Genomic DNA, 15,122 nt, shown 5'->3' with positions numbered 1-15,122 from the left:
GCAGTGAAAAGCTCTCCTTAGCAGTTAATAAAATCATAATGACCAGACATCAGAGTTTCTTAATTTCCGTCAGCAGTTGGGCACTTTCTCTCCGAGGAAGTCAATGATGTCATTTAAGTCCATCTTCTCATGTCCATTCCTGGTGAGGTGATAATTATTATTCTCTTGGGGCTGCCTAGCATCTGACCCCCTCTTAATATGTTTTAGAGAAATAACTCCCCTTTAATATAAAAGCCAAAAGTGTAAGCTACTCATTTTCTCAGATTCTCTTGCAGGTTGGCGTGCCTGCATCACCTGGCTCAGCTGATCATGAGCTCCTGCCTGGACTCCAAGTACGAAGTAAGAGATGTGAAGAATCAGGAACCACGTGGGGTCATTTTTGCAGCTGGCCTGGCAGCTGCATTTCCAGTCCCGATTCCCGAGTCACAAGCATCATGCAGTGGCAGCTGTGTCTCCGTGGAGCCATTTTACAGTGGACATCGTTCCTGCTTGCATACCCTCTGTGTATGGTTCTCAGATCCTTCCAGAGCTTCTGTGAGCTCCTTGCTATGTAGCTGGTGCTCCTATTCATCATGTACTTTTGTTTTTCCTTCCTTCCTTCCTTCCTTCTTTCCTTCCTTCCTCTCTCTCTCTCCCTTTCTTTCTTTCTTTCGTTCTTTTTTTTTGAGACAGAGTCTCACTCTGTCACCCAGGCTGGAGTGCAGTGGCACAATCTCGGCTCACTGCAACCCTCACCTTCCAGGTTTAAGCAATTCTCCTGCCTCAGCCTCCTAAGTAGCTGGGATTACAGGTGTGTGCCACCACGCTTGGGTATTTTTGTATTTTTAGTAGAGATGGGGCTTCTCCAGGTTGGCCAGACTGGTCTAAAGTGATCCACCTGCCTCAACCTCTCAAAGTGCTGGGATTACAGGGGTGAGCCACCGTGCCTGGCCAGCATGTACTTCTTTTTCTTCACCTGCCTCACTCATTCTCATTCTGAAACATTACCTCCTCTAAGAAGCCTTCCTTGATATATCCTTCCTTCCATCACACTATTTTGACTTCTTGACACCAGGAACTACTCTATGGTTTGAATGTTTTTGTCCCCTACAAAAATTCATGTTGAATGTTAATTGCCATTGCAACAGTATTGAGAGATGTGGTCTTTGGGAGGTGATCAAGTAATGAGGGCAGAGACTAGTTGCCCTTAAGCATGGTATTAGTTGCCCTTATGAAAGGGCTTGACAGTTCACCCCTTTTTGCCTTTCTGCTTTCCACCACATTAGGACACTCTTCCTTACATCTGGCAGGTGCAGTGTTCAGTGCACCATCTTGGAAGCAGAGAGCAGCCCTCACCAGACACCAGACTTGTTGGCATCTCGATCTTGGACTTTCCACCCTCCAGAACTGTAAGAAAATAAATTTCTCTTCTTTATAAATTATCCGGTCTCTGTATTCTGTTATAGCAGCACAAACAGACTAGGACAGGCGAGGTCTTATTTATTCTTTCATCTCAGGTGCCCAAGTGAACTGTAGATTTATTTATTTGTGTATTGATTCTTTAATCCCAAGTGAACTGTAGATACTCAATAAGTACATCTGTATTATTTTTCCTATGGCTTCTGTATAAATTACTACAAACTTGGAGTAGCTTAAAACAACACAGATTTATCCTCTCACAGGTCTGGAGTCCAGAAGTCTGAAATTGGTTTGACTGGACCAAAATCAAGATGGCGGCAGAGCTGGCTCTCTCTGGAGGCCCTAGGGGAGAATTTGTTCCTTGCCTCTTTCAGCTTCCAGGGGGCTGTTGGAATTCCTTAGCACATGGTTACATCACTCTAATATCACTCCAGTTTCTGCCTTCTTGGTCACATTGCCTTCTTCTCTTCTTTCTGTAGTTTCCATCTACCACCTTCTCATAAGGACACTTGTGATGACACTCAGGGCTCACCAGGATAATCCAGGATGGGCCCTCCATCTCAAGACCCTTAAGTTAATCACATCTGCAAAGTCTTTGTCATATAAGGTAACATGCATAGGTTCTAGAGATTAGGACATGAATATCTTGGGGGTCATTATTCAGCCTGCCTACATCATAGGTCATATACTACATAAATTTTTATGGTGCAAATCACTAGCCCTTCTTCCCTATGATGCTGCTTGGATTTGCTCCCCCAGGGCTGTCTTCTGTTTGACTTTGTCTTGGGAGAAATTATTTTGGTCCTTCACAAACTAAACTCCTTTGAACTGAATCCACCTAGAGCAGCCAGCCTCATGTGCAAATCTGCCAATGGCCAATAGTCCTTGTGAAGTTCACTCAACCCACTGTGATTGTCCTCTTCTCAGTCCTGCTGCTGGTTGTGTGGTCTTGAACAAAACTGTTAGATCAGTGGAATAGCTCTGCCCTAATGGCCCAGGGACCTGGAAGCCAGCCTATTCCTCATGTGGGACTTTGGGTGGGAATTCCCTCTCCCTGAGCCTGGGTGTCCTCATTCATACAAAGACAGACTAAAACTCTTCCCAACTCAGTCAAGCTCTTCCCTCAAATTTTCTCTTCTTCTCATAAAAGAACACACACTGTATAATTCCATTTACATAGCTCAATAACAGGAAAAACTAAATTGTATTGTTTAGCAATGTATTGTTTATTTTACCACCTAGGTAGCAAAATAATAAAAAGGCCAAGGAAATGATTGTCACAAAAGCAAAATGTGATATATACATACAATGGAATATTATTCAGCCTTAAAGGGTAAGTAGACTCTGACAGATGCTACAACACAGATGAACCTTGAGGACATGATGTGAAATAAAATAAGCCAGTCACAAAAACACACACACTATAGGATTCCACGTAGAGGAGTTACCTAGAATGGGCAAATTCATAGACAGAAAATAGAATGGTGATTGCCAGGTGTCTTAGTCCATTTTCTGTTGGTTATAACAGAATACCTGAAACTAGGTAATTTATAGAGCAATGAAATTTACTTCTGTATTCTTTTTTTTTTTTTTTGAGATGAAGTCTCACTCTTGTCATCCAGGCTGGAGTGCAATGGTGCGATCTCGGCTCACTGCAACCTCCACCTCCTAGGTTCAAGCGATTCTCCTGCCTCAGCCTCCTGAGTAGCTGGGATTACAGGCGTCTGCCACCACGCCCAGCTAATTTTTGTATTTTTAGTAGAGACAGGGTTTCACCATGTTGGCCAGGATGGTCTTGAACTCCTGACCTCAGGCAATCCGCCCACCTCAGCCTCCCAAAGTGCTGGGACTACAGGCGTCAGCCACCGTGCCCGGCCCAAAATTTATTTCTTACAGTTCTGGAAGCGAGGAGTCCAAGGTCAAGGGGATGCATCTGGTGAGGGTCTTCTTTCTCGTGGGGACTCTCTGCAGAGTCCGATGCTGCTCCAGGCATCATATGGTCAGGGGGCTGAGTATGTCTTTCTTCCCTGTCTTATAAAGCCACTAGGCCCACTCCTGTGATAACCCATTAATCCATGAGCCCATTGATCTTTTAATCCACAAATGGATTAATCTAGTCACGAGGGCAGAGCTCTCATAACCCAACCTCTTAAAGACCCCACATCTCAATACTGCCACAGTGGAGATTAAACATGAGTTTTGGAGCAGACAAATATTCAAATCATAGCACCAGGGTCTGATAGTGAGTATTGAGTGTTAACTTGGTTGGATCAAAGGATGCAAAGTATTGTTCCTGGGCATGTCCATGAGGGTGTTGCCAAGGGAGATTAACATTTGAGTCGGTGGACTGGGAGACACAGACCCATCCTCAATCTAGGTGGGTGCCATCTCATCAGCTGCCAGTGTGGCTAGAATAAAAGCAGGAAGAGGAACGTGGAAGTGTGTCCGGAATTGGTGGGTTCTTGGTCTCACTGACTTCAAGAATGAAGCCGTGGACCCTCGCGGTGAGTGTTACAGCTCTTAAGGTGGTGCGTCTGGAGTTTGTTCCTTCTGATGTTCGGATGTGTTCGGAGTTCCTTCCTTCTGGTGGGTTCGTGGTCTCACTGGCTCAGGAGTGAAGCTTCAGACCTTCGCGGTGAGCATTACAGCTCTTAATGTGGCGCGTCTGGAGTTGTTCGTTCCTCCCGGTGGGCTCGTGGGCTCGCTGGCTTCAGGAGTGAAGCTGCAGACCTTCGCAGTGAGTGTTACAGCTCATAAAAGCAGTGTGGACCCAAAGAGTGAGCAGTAGCAAAATTTATTGCAAAGAGCAAAAGAACAAAGCTTCCACAGGGTGGAAGGGGACCCGAGCGGGTTGCCACTGCTGGCTTGGACAACCTGCTTTTATTCTCTTATCTGGCCCCACCCACATCCTGCTGATTGGTAGAGCCGAGTGGTCTGTTTTGACAGGGCGCTGATTGGTGCGTTTACAATCCCTGAGCTAGACACTAAGGTTCTCCACGTCCCCACCAGGTTAGCTAGATACAGAGTGTGGACACAAAGGTTCTCCAAGGCCCCACCAGAGTAGCTAGATACAGAGTGTCGATTGGTGCATTCACAAACCCTGAGCTAGACACAGGGTGCTGATTGGTGTGTTTACAAACCTTGAGCTAGATACAGAGTGCCGATTGGTGTATTTACAATCCCTGAGCTAGACATAAAGGTTCTCCAAGGTCCCACCAGAGTAGCTAGATACAGAATGCCCACTGGTGCATTCACAAACCCTGAGCTAGACACAGGGTGCTGATTGGTGTATTTACAATCCCTGAGCTAGACATAAAGGTTCTCCACGTCCCCACCAGACTCAGGAGCCCAGCTGGCTTCACCCAGTGGATCCTGCACCGGGGCTGCAGGTGGAGCTGCTTGCCAGTCCCGGTGCTGTGCGCCGGCACTCCTCAGCCCTTGGGTTGTCGATGGGACTGGGCGCCGTGGAGCAGGGGGTGGCGCTCATCGGGGAGGCTCGGGCCGCACAGGAGCCCATGGAGTGGGTGGGAGGCTCAGGCATGGCGGGCTGCAGGTCCCGAGCCCTGCCTCACGGGAAGGCAGCTAAGGCCCGGTGAGAAATTGAGCGCAGCGCCGGTGGGCTGGCACTGCTGGGGGACCCAGTACACCCTCCGCAGCCGCTGGCCCGGGTGCTAAGCCCCTCATTGCCCTGGGCCGGCAGGGCCGGCCGGCTGCTCTCAATGTGGGCCCGCCAAGCCCACGCCCACCCTGAACTCCAGCTGGCCCGCAAGCGCGGCGCGCAGCCCCGGTTCCTGCTGGCGCCTCTCCCTCCACGCCTCCCTGCAAGCTGAGGGAGCCAAGCTCTGGCCTTGGCCAGCCCAGAACGGCGCTCCCACAATGCAGCGGTGGGCTGAAGGGCTCCTCAAGTGCAGCCAAAGTGGGAGCCCAGGCAGAGGAGGCCCCGAGAGCGAGCGGGGGCTGAGGACTGCCAGCACGCTGTCACCTCTCAGAAGGACTAGACTGGCTGAGTCTTTTGGCCTCCACCTTTCTCCCATGCTGGATGCTTCCTGCACTCGAACATTGGACTACAAGTTCTTCAGCTTTTGGACTCTTGGACTTATACCAGTGGTTTGCCTGTGGCTCTCGGACCTTCAGCCACAGACTGAAAGCGGCACTGTTGGCTTCCCTACTTTTTAGCTTTTGGGACTCGGACTGACTTCCTTGTTCCTCAGCTTGCAGATGGCCTACTGTGGGACTTCACCTTGTGATCGTGTAAGTCAATATTCCTTAATAAACTCCCATTTATATATACATCTATCCTATTAGTCCTGTCCCTCCAGAGAACCCTAATTCACAGGGGAGGGAAATGAAGATTTATTGTTTAATGGGTATATGGTTTCAATTGGCAAGATGAAAAAATTCTGGTGGTGGGTGGTGATGATAGTGGCACAATATGAATGTACTTAATGCCACAGGACTGTACACTTAAAAATGTACACTTAAAAATGGTTAAAATGGTAAATTTCATGCTACATAAATTTTAACACAATAAAAAAATTGGAAAGAAAAAAACTAGGCTACTGATTATGTCTGGTTTGACAAGAGCACAAAAAGACATATTTGGGGACTGGCAACTATTTATTGACCTCGGTGGTGGTCACACAGGTATTTGCCTCATTATTTGCTGATCTGTACATTATACTTATTGATTGATTTTTATTTAATTTTTCATCTTGGAAATTTTCAACCATTCCCAAAAGTAAAAACCATAATATAATAAACCCAGCTGCAACAATTATTCACATTTTGCTATTTTTGTTTCATTTATGCATGCCTTCCAGTTTTGGAAAGCATGGGACATTTTGAAGCCAATTGCAGGTTTTACATCATTTCACCTATAAATACTTCAGTAGATACATATACACTTTTATGCATTATCTATAAAGATGAAACACCAAAAATACTAAAGTAAGAGGGAAGGAATGGAGCTGGTCTTGAAGGCAGAAATCCTGTGTAGGGAAAGTAGTGTGTGTGTGTTTGTGTGTGCACGTATGTGTGTCATGGTCATGCAGATACAGTAGGATGTCTGCTTTGGTTGGAGGAATAGCTAAGCCTGTGTTCTTCCATTGCAGCTTGGGGGCCATGGTTGTAGCTCCCAATGGTTGATCTGGGCATTTAAATAAACGCAGTCAAGCCTACGACTCCAGAAGAGCTATAACCAGAGTCCAAGAAGTCTTGTAGGGCTGGATATAAGAGTCCCCCTCCCGTATTGAGGACCCACACTTCATGTCTGTCTTTTTGTTTCTGTCTGGCTAGCACCCGGCACAGTGAATTGCCCAGTGGAAAACCTCAACAATTGTTAAATGATTGGATAACGAGGGGAGAGGATTGCTCTAAAGAACGCCACAGTTTGCCGGAGGCTCAGAGTATTTTTTTGTTCTTGCTTTCATGACTTTAAGCAAACTGTCCTGCTCTTGGAAAAAGGGAAGGAGACTGTAAGCTCCTTCATGGAGTAGTGGTGACCCCACACTGCTAGAGGTGGGAAGGAGGAGTTTGGTTCTCGACAGAAGTAGGTGGGAACACTGAGGCCAACCCCAGTACCCCTAAGATGGGCTTTGATTTGTCCTGTCACTGGATGAACCAGGTCTGTAGCTAATACAAGTTGTTAATATCCAAGTCTTATAAAATATGGGTAAGAGTGGGAGTATGCCAACCAGTTCTCAGACTCCAGGTTTGGGGTCTAGGGCATTACCAGGCCCTCTCTGCGGGTGTCTGGGCTCCGGGGCACCATGCATAGAGGCCAATGGAAGAGGCCAACATAGAATTTCACAAGCTTCCTTTGGTCAAAACCTGCTATTTATCGACCTGAGTGGTGGTCACACAAGTATTTGATTGATAATTATTTGCTAATCTGTGCATATATACTCATTGATTGATCATTATATTTATTGATTGATCATTGTTGATTGGTCATTATACTTTTTGATCTTTTACGTCTAACTCAAGTTATCCCTTTTTAGAAGCTCCTGGTGCACAGTAAGCTCTCCATCCTCTCCTGCTGCTATCTCCTTGCCTTAGCCTTGGCTATTCCTTCTGTTGCAAATGCTTTTTCCTCAGATTTTCATGTGCTTGCGCTCTCACATTCAGGGCAGCACATAATATTGAGTCTTAATTTTAGGCCTCCCACCACAGTTCTTCTCTAGTGTATATGGTTAAACAGGGTTCACTGACCCATCTTGGAAGTCCTGGTGTCTCTCTCTACTAAGCCTGGCTTTGGCTCTCACTTCTGCTTTGCCCTGGGGCCACAGCTGTGTTACAGCCCATGTTCAAATATCTTCATGTTAAAGAACTTGATGACTATCTTCTGTAAACAAGATAGCAACCCCTAGCTCTCCTTATCTCTGGTACCCTACTTATTTTTCTTCATAACCTCTATTGTCAGCTTCCCCAGCCTGACCACAGAATATAAGTTCTGTGGAGGCAGGCATTTCATCTGTTTTCTTCACGGTGGTGTTTCCAGGGCCTAGAGCAGTGCTTGGCACATAGTGAAGGCTCAATTCGTATTTGTTGAATGAATGAATGAATGGTTGATATTTCTTGTCTGGTCCATGCATGTCACTAGACACTTGTGATCTTTTATGTCTTGTCTTTCCAGTTGGAATCCTCTAGGGTCTGGTCTGTTCCTGCAAGAACTGCCCCTTATTCATCCCATTTGTGAAGAAGGGATTCCTGCCCTAGGGTTATGAGGCTGGCCAATTTTACACGACACCCAACACTGGGTAGATAAGATTGACGGCAGTTAATTTATCACATATACTGACAGGGGACATTGCATGCCACACAGGACCACATGAGGACTGCACTGGAGAGCAAAGTGAAGAAGCAGGGAGTGTGGAAGGTGGCTTTGTAGTATCCAGAGGATGGGGTGGCCTGCATTCCCACAGGAAGATGTGATTGGCTACTTGAAATAATTCCATGAGCTGGCAGGGAACTGAAGCCTGCTACTCAAGGGTAAGCAGGAACTGTGCCTGGTCCTTTTGATAAGAACAGTTGTTTGGCTAGGGGACCTTTTTAGAAGCAAAAGAGGGAGGTGAACTTGCAATTACACCACCTGAGGCCCTCCTGGTTTCACCAGACATCAGGGCAGAACATGATATCGGGCTTTAATTTTAGGCCTTCCACTACAGTTCCGCGCTAGTGTACATGGTCGAACAGCGTTCACTGGCCCATCTTGGAGGTCCTGGTGTCTCGCTCTGATAAGCCCAGCTTTGTCTCTCACTCTTGCTTTGTCCTAGGGCTTCAGCTCTGTTACTATGTGACTTTCAGTTCCAACAACCAATTCCAGGCCATTTAATCCCAGCTCTCTGGAAACTGGCTCAGCTTATATTCCTAGACTTCCTTCCTACCTTCTCCTGTTCTTGACTCCTGGATATGGTTCTAGCCTCTTCTGTCTGATCTTACTGTGTGACTTCTGGTTGCCAGCATCCACCTCTCCTCCTCACCTGCCTATTGCAGCATGACAGGTCACAACGATCTTTCCAGGACTTTTCTCCTCCTCCAAGCAGCTTCAGAGAGTAGGGAACGGCTTGAAGCTTGAAAGCAAAGAAACACAGCTTCCAGAGTTTCCTTAGTGCTATCAATTTTTTTCTTTTTAAAATTTGCAACAGGGGTTTGCTCTGTATGTCACCCAGACTGGAGTGCGGTGGCACAAACAAGGATCACTGCAGTCTCCATCTCTTGGGCTCAAGCAATCCTCCTACCTCAGCCTCCTAAGTAGCTGGGACTACAGGTGTGAGCCACCATGCCCGGCTAGTTTTTGTATTTTTTTGTAGACAGGGTTTTGCCATCATGCCCAGGCTGGTCTTGAACTCCTGACCTCAAGTGATCCACCTGCCTTGGCCTCCCAAAGTGCTGGGATTACAAGTGTGAGCCACTGCACCCGGCCCAGTGGTATCACTTATGCCTGCCCATGAGCACCAGCTCAATTGCTCTGACATCCCTGTGAATCAAACTCAGAGGTCTTTAGTTCTGACCAATTAACGCATTGTCCTTGTGGGGGACTATGTGGCAGCTATGAAAATGCACCACCTAGGTCTCCTACCGTGGCCGCAGCTGGTGCACTTGGAGATCCATCACTCCATTTGCACTGATGCTCTGCTTCTCGGCTCACTGTGCAGTCTGGGGACACGAAGAGGGGCCTGTTTCTGCGAGATATGGGACTCCTGTCATGGATGACTTTGGCTCAAGGACTATCTGTAACTTTGCCCAACTGGTCTTAGCTCTGAACTGCAGCCTAAGAGCTTTCTTCTTTCCTTTCTTCCCTCCCTCTCTCCTTCATAGGGGTCAGACTTGCATTATAGCCTAAGCCTTTTCCAGCCTTCTCTGGCTTCCTCCCCACTTTCCCTCACAGGTGTTTCCCCCAGTAAACCCCCTGCATGTCTAATCCTGTTTTGGTGTCTGCTTTTGGGAGAACCTTCACTCACAAGGCTACTATGGTATGAAAGTCTTAAACGGTGTCACTGAATCCAATTTGTAGTCTTTAATCCCTCACCCCCTTCCCATGCTTTCCCCCCAAGTCCCCAAGTCCATTGTATCATTCTTATGCCTTTGCATCCTCGTAGCTTAGCTCCCACTTATGAGTGAGAACATACGATGTTTGGTTTTCCATTCCTGAGTTACTTCACTGAGAATAATGGTCTCTAATCCCATCCAGAGATTGCTGTGAATGCTATTAATTCATTCCTCTTTATGGCTGAGTAGTATTCCTTCATACATATAAATTGTAGTTTCCTTATTCACTCATTGATTGATGGGCATTTGGGCTGGTTTAACAGTTTTGCAATTGCGAATTGTGCTGCTATAAACATGCGTGTGCAAGTATTTTTTTTGTGTAATGATTTCTTTTCCTCTGGATATAATACCCAGTAGTGGGATTGCTGGGTCAAATGATAGTTCTACTTCCAGTTATTTAAGGAATCTCCACACTGTTTTCAATAGTGGTTGTACTAGTTTACATTCCCACCAGCAATGTAGGAATGTTCCTTTTTCATCACATCCATGCCAACATCTATTATTTTTTGATTATGGCCATTCTTGCGGGAGTCAGGTGGTATGGCATTGCGGTTTTGATTTGCATTTCCCTGATCATTAGTGACGCTGAGCATTTTTTTCATACGTTTCTTAGCCATTTGTATATCTTCTTTTGAGCTCAGATGATGGGTGCACCAAAATCTCACAAATCACTCCTAAAGAACTTACTCATGTAACCAAACACCACCTGTTCCCCAAAAACCTACGGAAATTTAAAATACATAAATATTAAATAATCAAAAATTTTAAAAAGAAGTCTTAAATGGTCTCGAAGTCTCCCGAAGTCTCAACGGCAGATGGGGAAGTCCTGGACCTCCCAGAGATTCTGATCAGGAGTCAACTTCACTTGATGACATCTTCTATCACAGCTGTTAAAAGCAGGGCTTTGGTTGGGTGTGGTGGCTCACACCTGTAATCCCAGCACTTTGGGAGGCTGAGGCGGGTAGATCACCTGAAGTCAGGAGTTTGAGACCAGCTTGGCCAACATGGTAAAACCCTGTCTCTACTAAAAATACAAAAAATTAGCCGGGCATGCTGGCAGGCACCTGTAATCCCAGCTACTCAGGAGGCTGAGGCAGGAGAATTGCTTGAACCCGGGAGGCAGAGGTTGCAGTGAGCCCAGATGGCGCCATTGCAACTCCATCCTGGGCAACAAGAGCGAAACTCCATCTCCAAAAAAAAAAAAAAAAAAAAAAGCAGGGCTTTAGGGTCAGATAAACATGGCCCCAAACTCCTGCTCCATCCCTTAAGTAGATGTGGGAGCTTCAGCGTGTCTTGCGGCCAGTTCATGCCTCAGTTTTCAAAGCTGTGAAGTGGGGTTGTAAGAGTCCATTGTGACAACGTGTGTCAAGCATTTAGGGACAGTAGATAGTGTGGCTGGGACACAGTGGGGGATCAATGAATGGCAGCTGTGGTTCTTCACACTTCATGCGCTTTGGAATGATGACATTCTCATTTTAGTAAGAACAGTTAAAATAAATGAAGAAGGAGAACAGATCTGAAGAATCCCTGGGCAGATACCAGTTAGGCCTCATCAGTGACCTCCACCTTGCTTGATTTGCAAACATGAGCAAAACTCAAATTGAGCTATTTCTCTTTGTTTGTTTGTTTTTTGTTTTCTTTTTTTTTTTTTTCTACAGGGTCTCTCTCTGTTACCCAGGCTGGAGGGCAGTGGTGCAATCATAGCTCAATACAGCCTAGAACTCCTGGGCTCAAGTGATCCTCCCACCTCAGCCTCCCAAGTAGTTGGGACTACAGGCATGCACCACTACATCTGGCTAATTTTTTTGATTTAAAGTAGAGACGAAGTCTAGCTGTTGCCCAGGCTGGCCTCAAATTCCTGGCCTCAAGCAATCTTCCCACCCCAGCCTCCCAAAGTGCTGGAATTACAGGCATGAACCACCACACTCAGCCCCTTAACTTGAGCTATTTCTTATCAATGCCTATATTAAAGAAAAGTAAAACTTAAGTTCAATGAATCAGAAGTAGCCAACAAACTCATAATGGTATAACTAGGAACTTTCCAAGAAGATAGACTAAATAAGACAACTAATATCATCGCAACCCATCAAATAATTTATTTATTTTGCTTCTGCATATATCTTACACATATTTGCCTTTCAAGACTGGTCGTGGCAACATGTGATCTCTTTCAATTTGGCGTTTCCCAATCCCCAAATTGCTTCTTACTCAAATAAATGCTTCAAAATCGTATTGTGCCTGTATTAGAGTTCTCTTAGAGGGACAGAATTAATAAGATATATATAAGAGTTTATTAAGTATTAACTTACATGATCACAAGGTCCCACAATGGGCCATCTGCAAGCTGAGGAGCAAGGAGAGCCAGTCCGAGTCCCAAAACTGAAGAACTTGGAGTGCGATGTTCGAGAGCAGGAAGCATCCAGCACAGGAGAAAGACGTAAGCTGGGAGGCTAGGCCCGTCTCCTTTTTCACGTTTTTCTGCCCGCTTTATATTCACTGGAAGCTGATTAGATTGTGCCAACCAGATTAAGGGTGGATTTGCCTTCCCCAGTCCACTGACTCAAGTGTTAATCTCCTTTGGCAACACCCTCACAGACACACCCAGGATCAATACTTTGTATCCCTCAATCCAATCAAGTTGACACTCAGCATTAACCATCACAGTGCCTAAGATTTTTCTTTCACAGAAGTCAGGCACAGACATTGAAGGCTAGTGGCCTGAGTCCTCAAGCCGGAGCTACCTCCATCTAGAATCAGAGCCACCCTGAAGTCCTAGAGCAAGCTTGTCCAACCTGAAGCTTGTGGTAAACACGCAGCCCAGGATGGCTTTGAATGCAGCCCAACACAAATTCATAAACTTCTTAAAACATTATGAGGTCGGGCGTGGTGTCTCACGCCTGTACTCCCAGCACTTTGGGAGGCCGAGGCCGGTGGATCACCTGAGGTCAGGAGTTCGAGACCAACCTGACCAACATGGTGAAACCCTGTTTCTAGTAAAAATACAAAATTAGCTGGGTGTGGTGGTGCATGCCTATAGTCCTAGCTACTTGGGAGGCTGAGGCAGAAGAATCGCTTGAACTCAGGAGGTGGAGGTTGCAGTGAGTTGAGATTGTACCATTGCACTCTAGCCTGGGCAACAAGAGCAAAACTCCATCTCAAAAAAAAAATTAAACAAACAAACAAAAACAAAACACACACACACACACACACAAAACATTATGAAACTTTTTTGGAATTTTTTTTTTTAGCTCATCAGCTGTCATTAGTGTTAGTGTATTTTATGTGTGGCTCCAGATCATTCTTCTTCCAATGCGGCCCAGGGAAGCCAAAAGATTGGATACCCCTGCCCTAGAGCATCTGGCCGGCAGGTCCCCTTTCAGTCCTTGCAAATATGTGGAGAGGTCAAAGGGCAAAAGGACCCCTGGTACTGCTGAGAGACCTCTCTGTCATCAGCAGCCACCCCCCATATCCACTTCAAGTTCTGCCAGGATTTTTCCATCAGATCTTGGACCTCTCACTTAACCTCTTTGGACTTTAGATTTTTTGTCTCTGAAATGGAGAGGACAAAGGTGAAGAATGCAATCTCCAAATTGGCCTTCAGCTCTGCTGATGGCCTCTAGACCAGCTGAAGTGGGTTCAACACTCCCAGTGGCAGCCTCAACCTGTTCTTGAATTTCAGCATTGATGTAAAGTGATAGCAGGGATTTTGGGCCATTTATTCTCTAAACTTTTTTTTTTTTTTTTTGAGACGGAGTCTCGCTCTGTCACCCAGGCTGGAGTACGGTGGTGCGATCTCGGCTCACTGCAAGCTCCGCCTCCGGGGTCCACACCATTCTCCTGCCTCAGCCTCCCGAGTGGCTGGGGCTACAGGCGCCCACCACCACACCCAGCTAATTTTTTGTATTTTTAGTAGAGACGGGGTTTCACCATGTTAGCCAGGATGGTCTCGATCTCCTGACCTTGTGATCCTATTCTCTAAACATTTTTAAGCTGTGATCATCTTAACACAGGGAGGGTTTTCAAAACAGGATAAATTTAAGCATGCTTGTCTTACACTTTCATAATTTTTCTTAAGAGACAGGGTCTGGCTCTGTCACCAAGGCTGCAGTGCAGTGGTGCGATCATAGCTCAGAGCAACCTCAAACTCCTGGGCTCAAGCGATCTTCCAGCCTCAGCCTCATGACTAGCTGGGACCACAGGCGTGTGCCACTGCCCTTGGCTAATTTTTAAATTTTTTGTAGGCACAGGGTCTCACTCTGTTGCCCAGGCTGATCTGAAACTCCTGGCCTCAAGTAATCCTCCCACCTCGGCCTCCCAAAGTGCTGGGATTACAGGCATGAGCGGCTGTATCCAGCCTCTAAACACATTTAATCTGTGATCATCTCAACACCAGGAGGATTTTCAAAACAGTGTAAACATAGGCAAGCTTAATTTACAGCTTCATAAGATTTTTTAAATCAAAATATTCCAGAGATGAAGACGCTGACAATTAAAAGCAACTAAATAGGCCGAGCGCGGTGGCTCACACCTATAATCACAGCACTTTAGGAGGCCGAGATAGGTGACCTGAGGTCAGGGGTTCAAGACCAGCCTGGCCAACATGGTGAAACCACGTCTCTACTAAAAATACAAAAATTAGCTGGGCTTGGTGGCACACACCTGTAATCCCAGCTACTCTGGAGGCTGAGGCACGAGAGTCACTTGAACCTGGAAGGCAGAGGTTGCAGCGAGCTGAGATCATGCCACTGCACTCCAGCCTGAGCAACAGAGCGAGACTCTGTCTAAAAAATAAAAATAAAAGCAACTAAACAAAAATCTGTGTGACAGAGAGGACTCAATCCCAAGCCTGATTGCCGAGATCGCCCATCCTGCCTGAAGGGAGGGAAGATATCTTGGTGGAGAGAAAGCAGAACCGTGGGATGTTGTGCCCAGGCAGGGATCCGCCATCCCGCCCTGGCTCTGAACTCCCCAAGGGAGGCCTAGATTCAGGACCCCAGAGAGCAGGGGACCCTGCTTAGACGCAACAATGAGGCCGGTGGTGCTAATTACACAGGTGATCATTGCCAAGCCCAGCTCAGTTTTCTCCTCTAGGGTCCTGCCTGCCCGCCCTCTCTGGCTTGTCTCTCTTCTTTCCTCTTGCCTGGAACTGGGCTCACCATCAGCCCCATCAAGTT

Source organism: Homo sapiens, chromosome 7 (assembly GCF_000001405.40).
Source record: "Homo sapiens chromosome 7, GRCh38.p14 Primary Assembly".
Taxonomy (NCBI): Eukaryota; Metazoa; Chordata; class Mammalia; order Primates; family Hominidae; genus Homo; species Homo sapiens.
Note: the sequence above shows the minus strand (reverse complement) of the source record.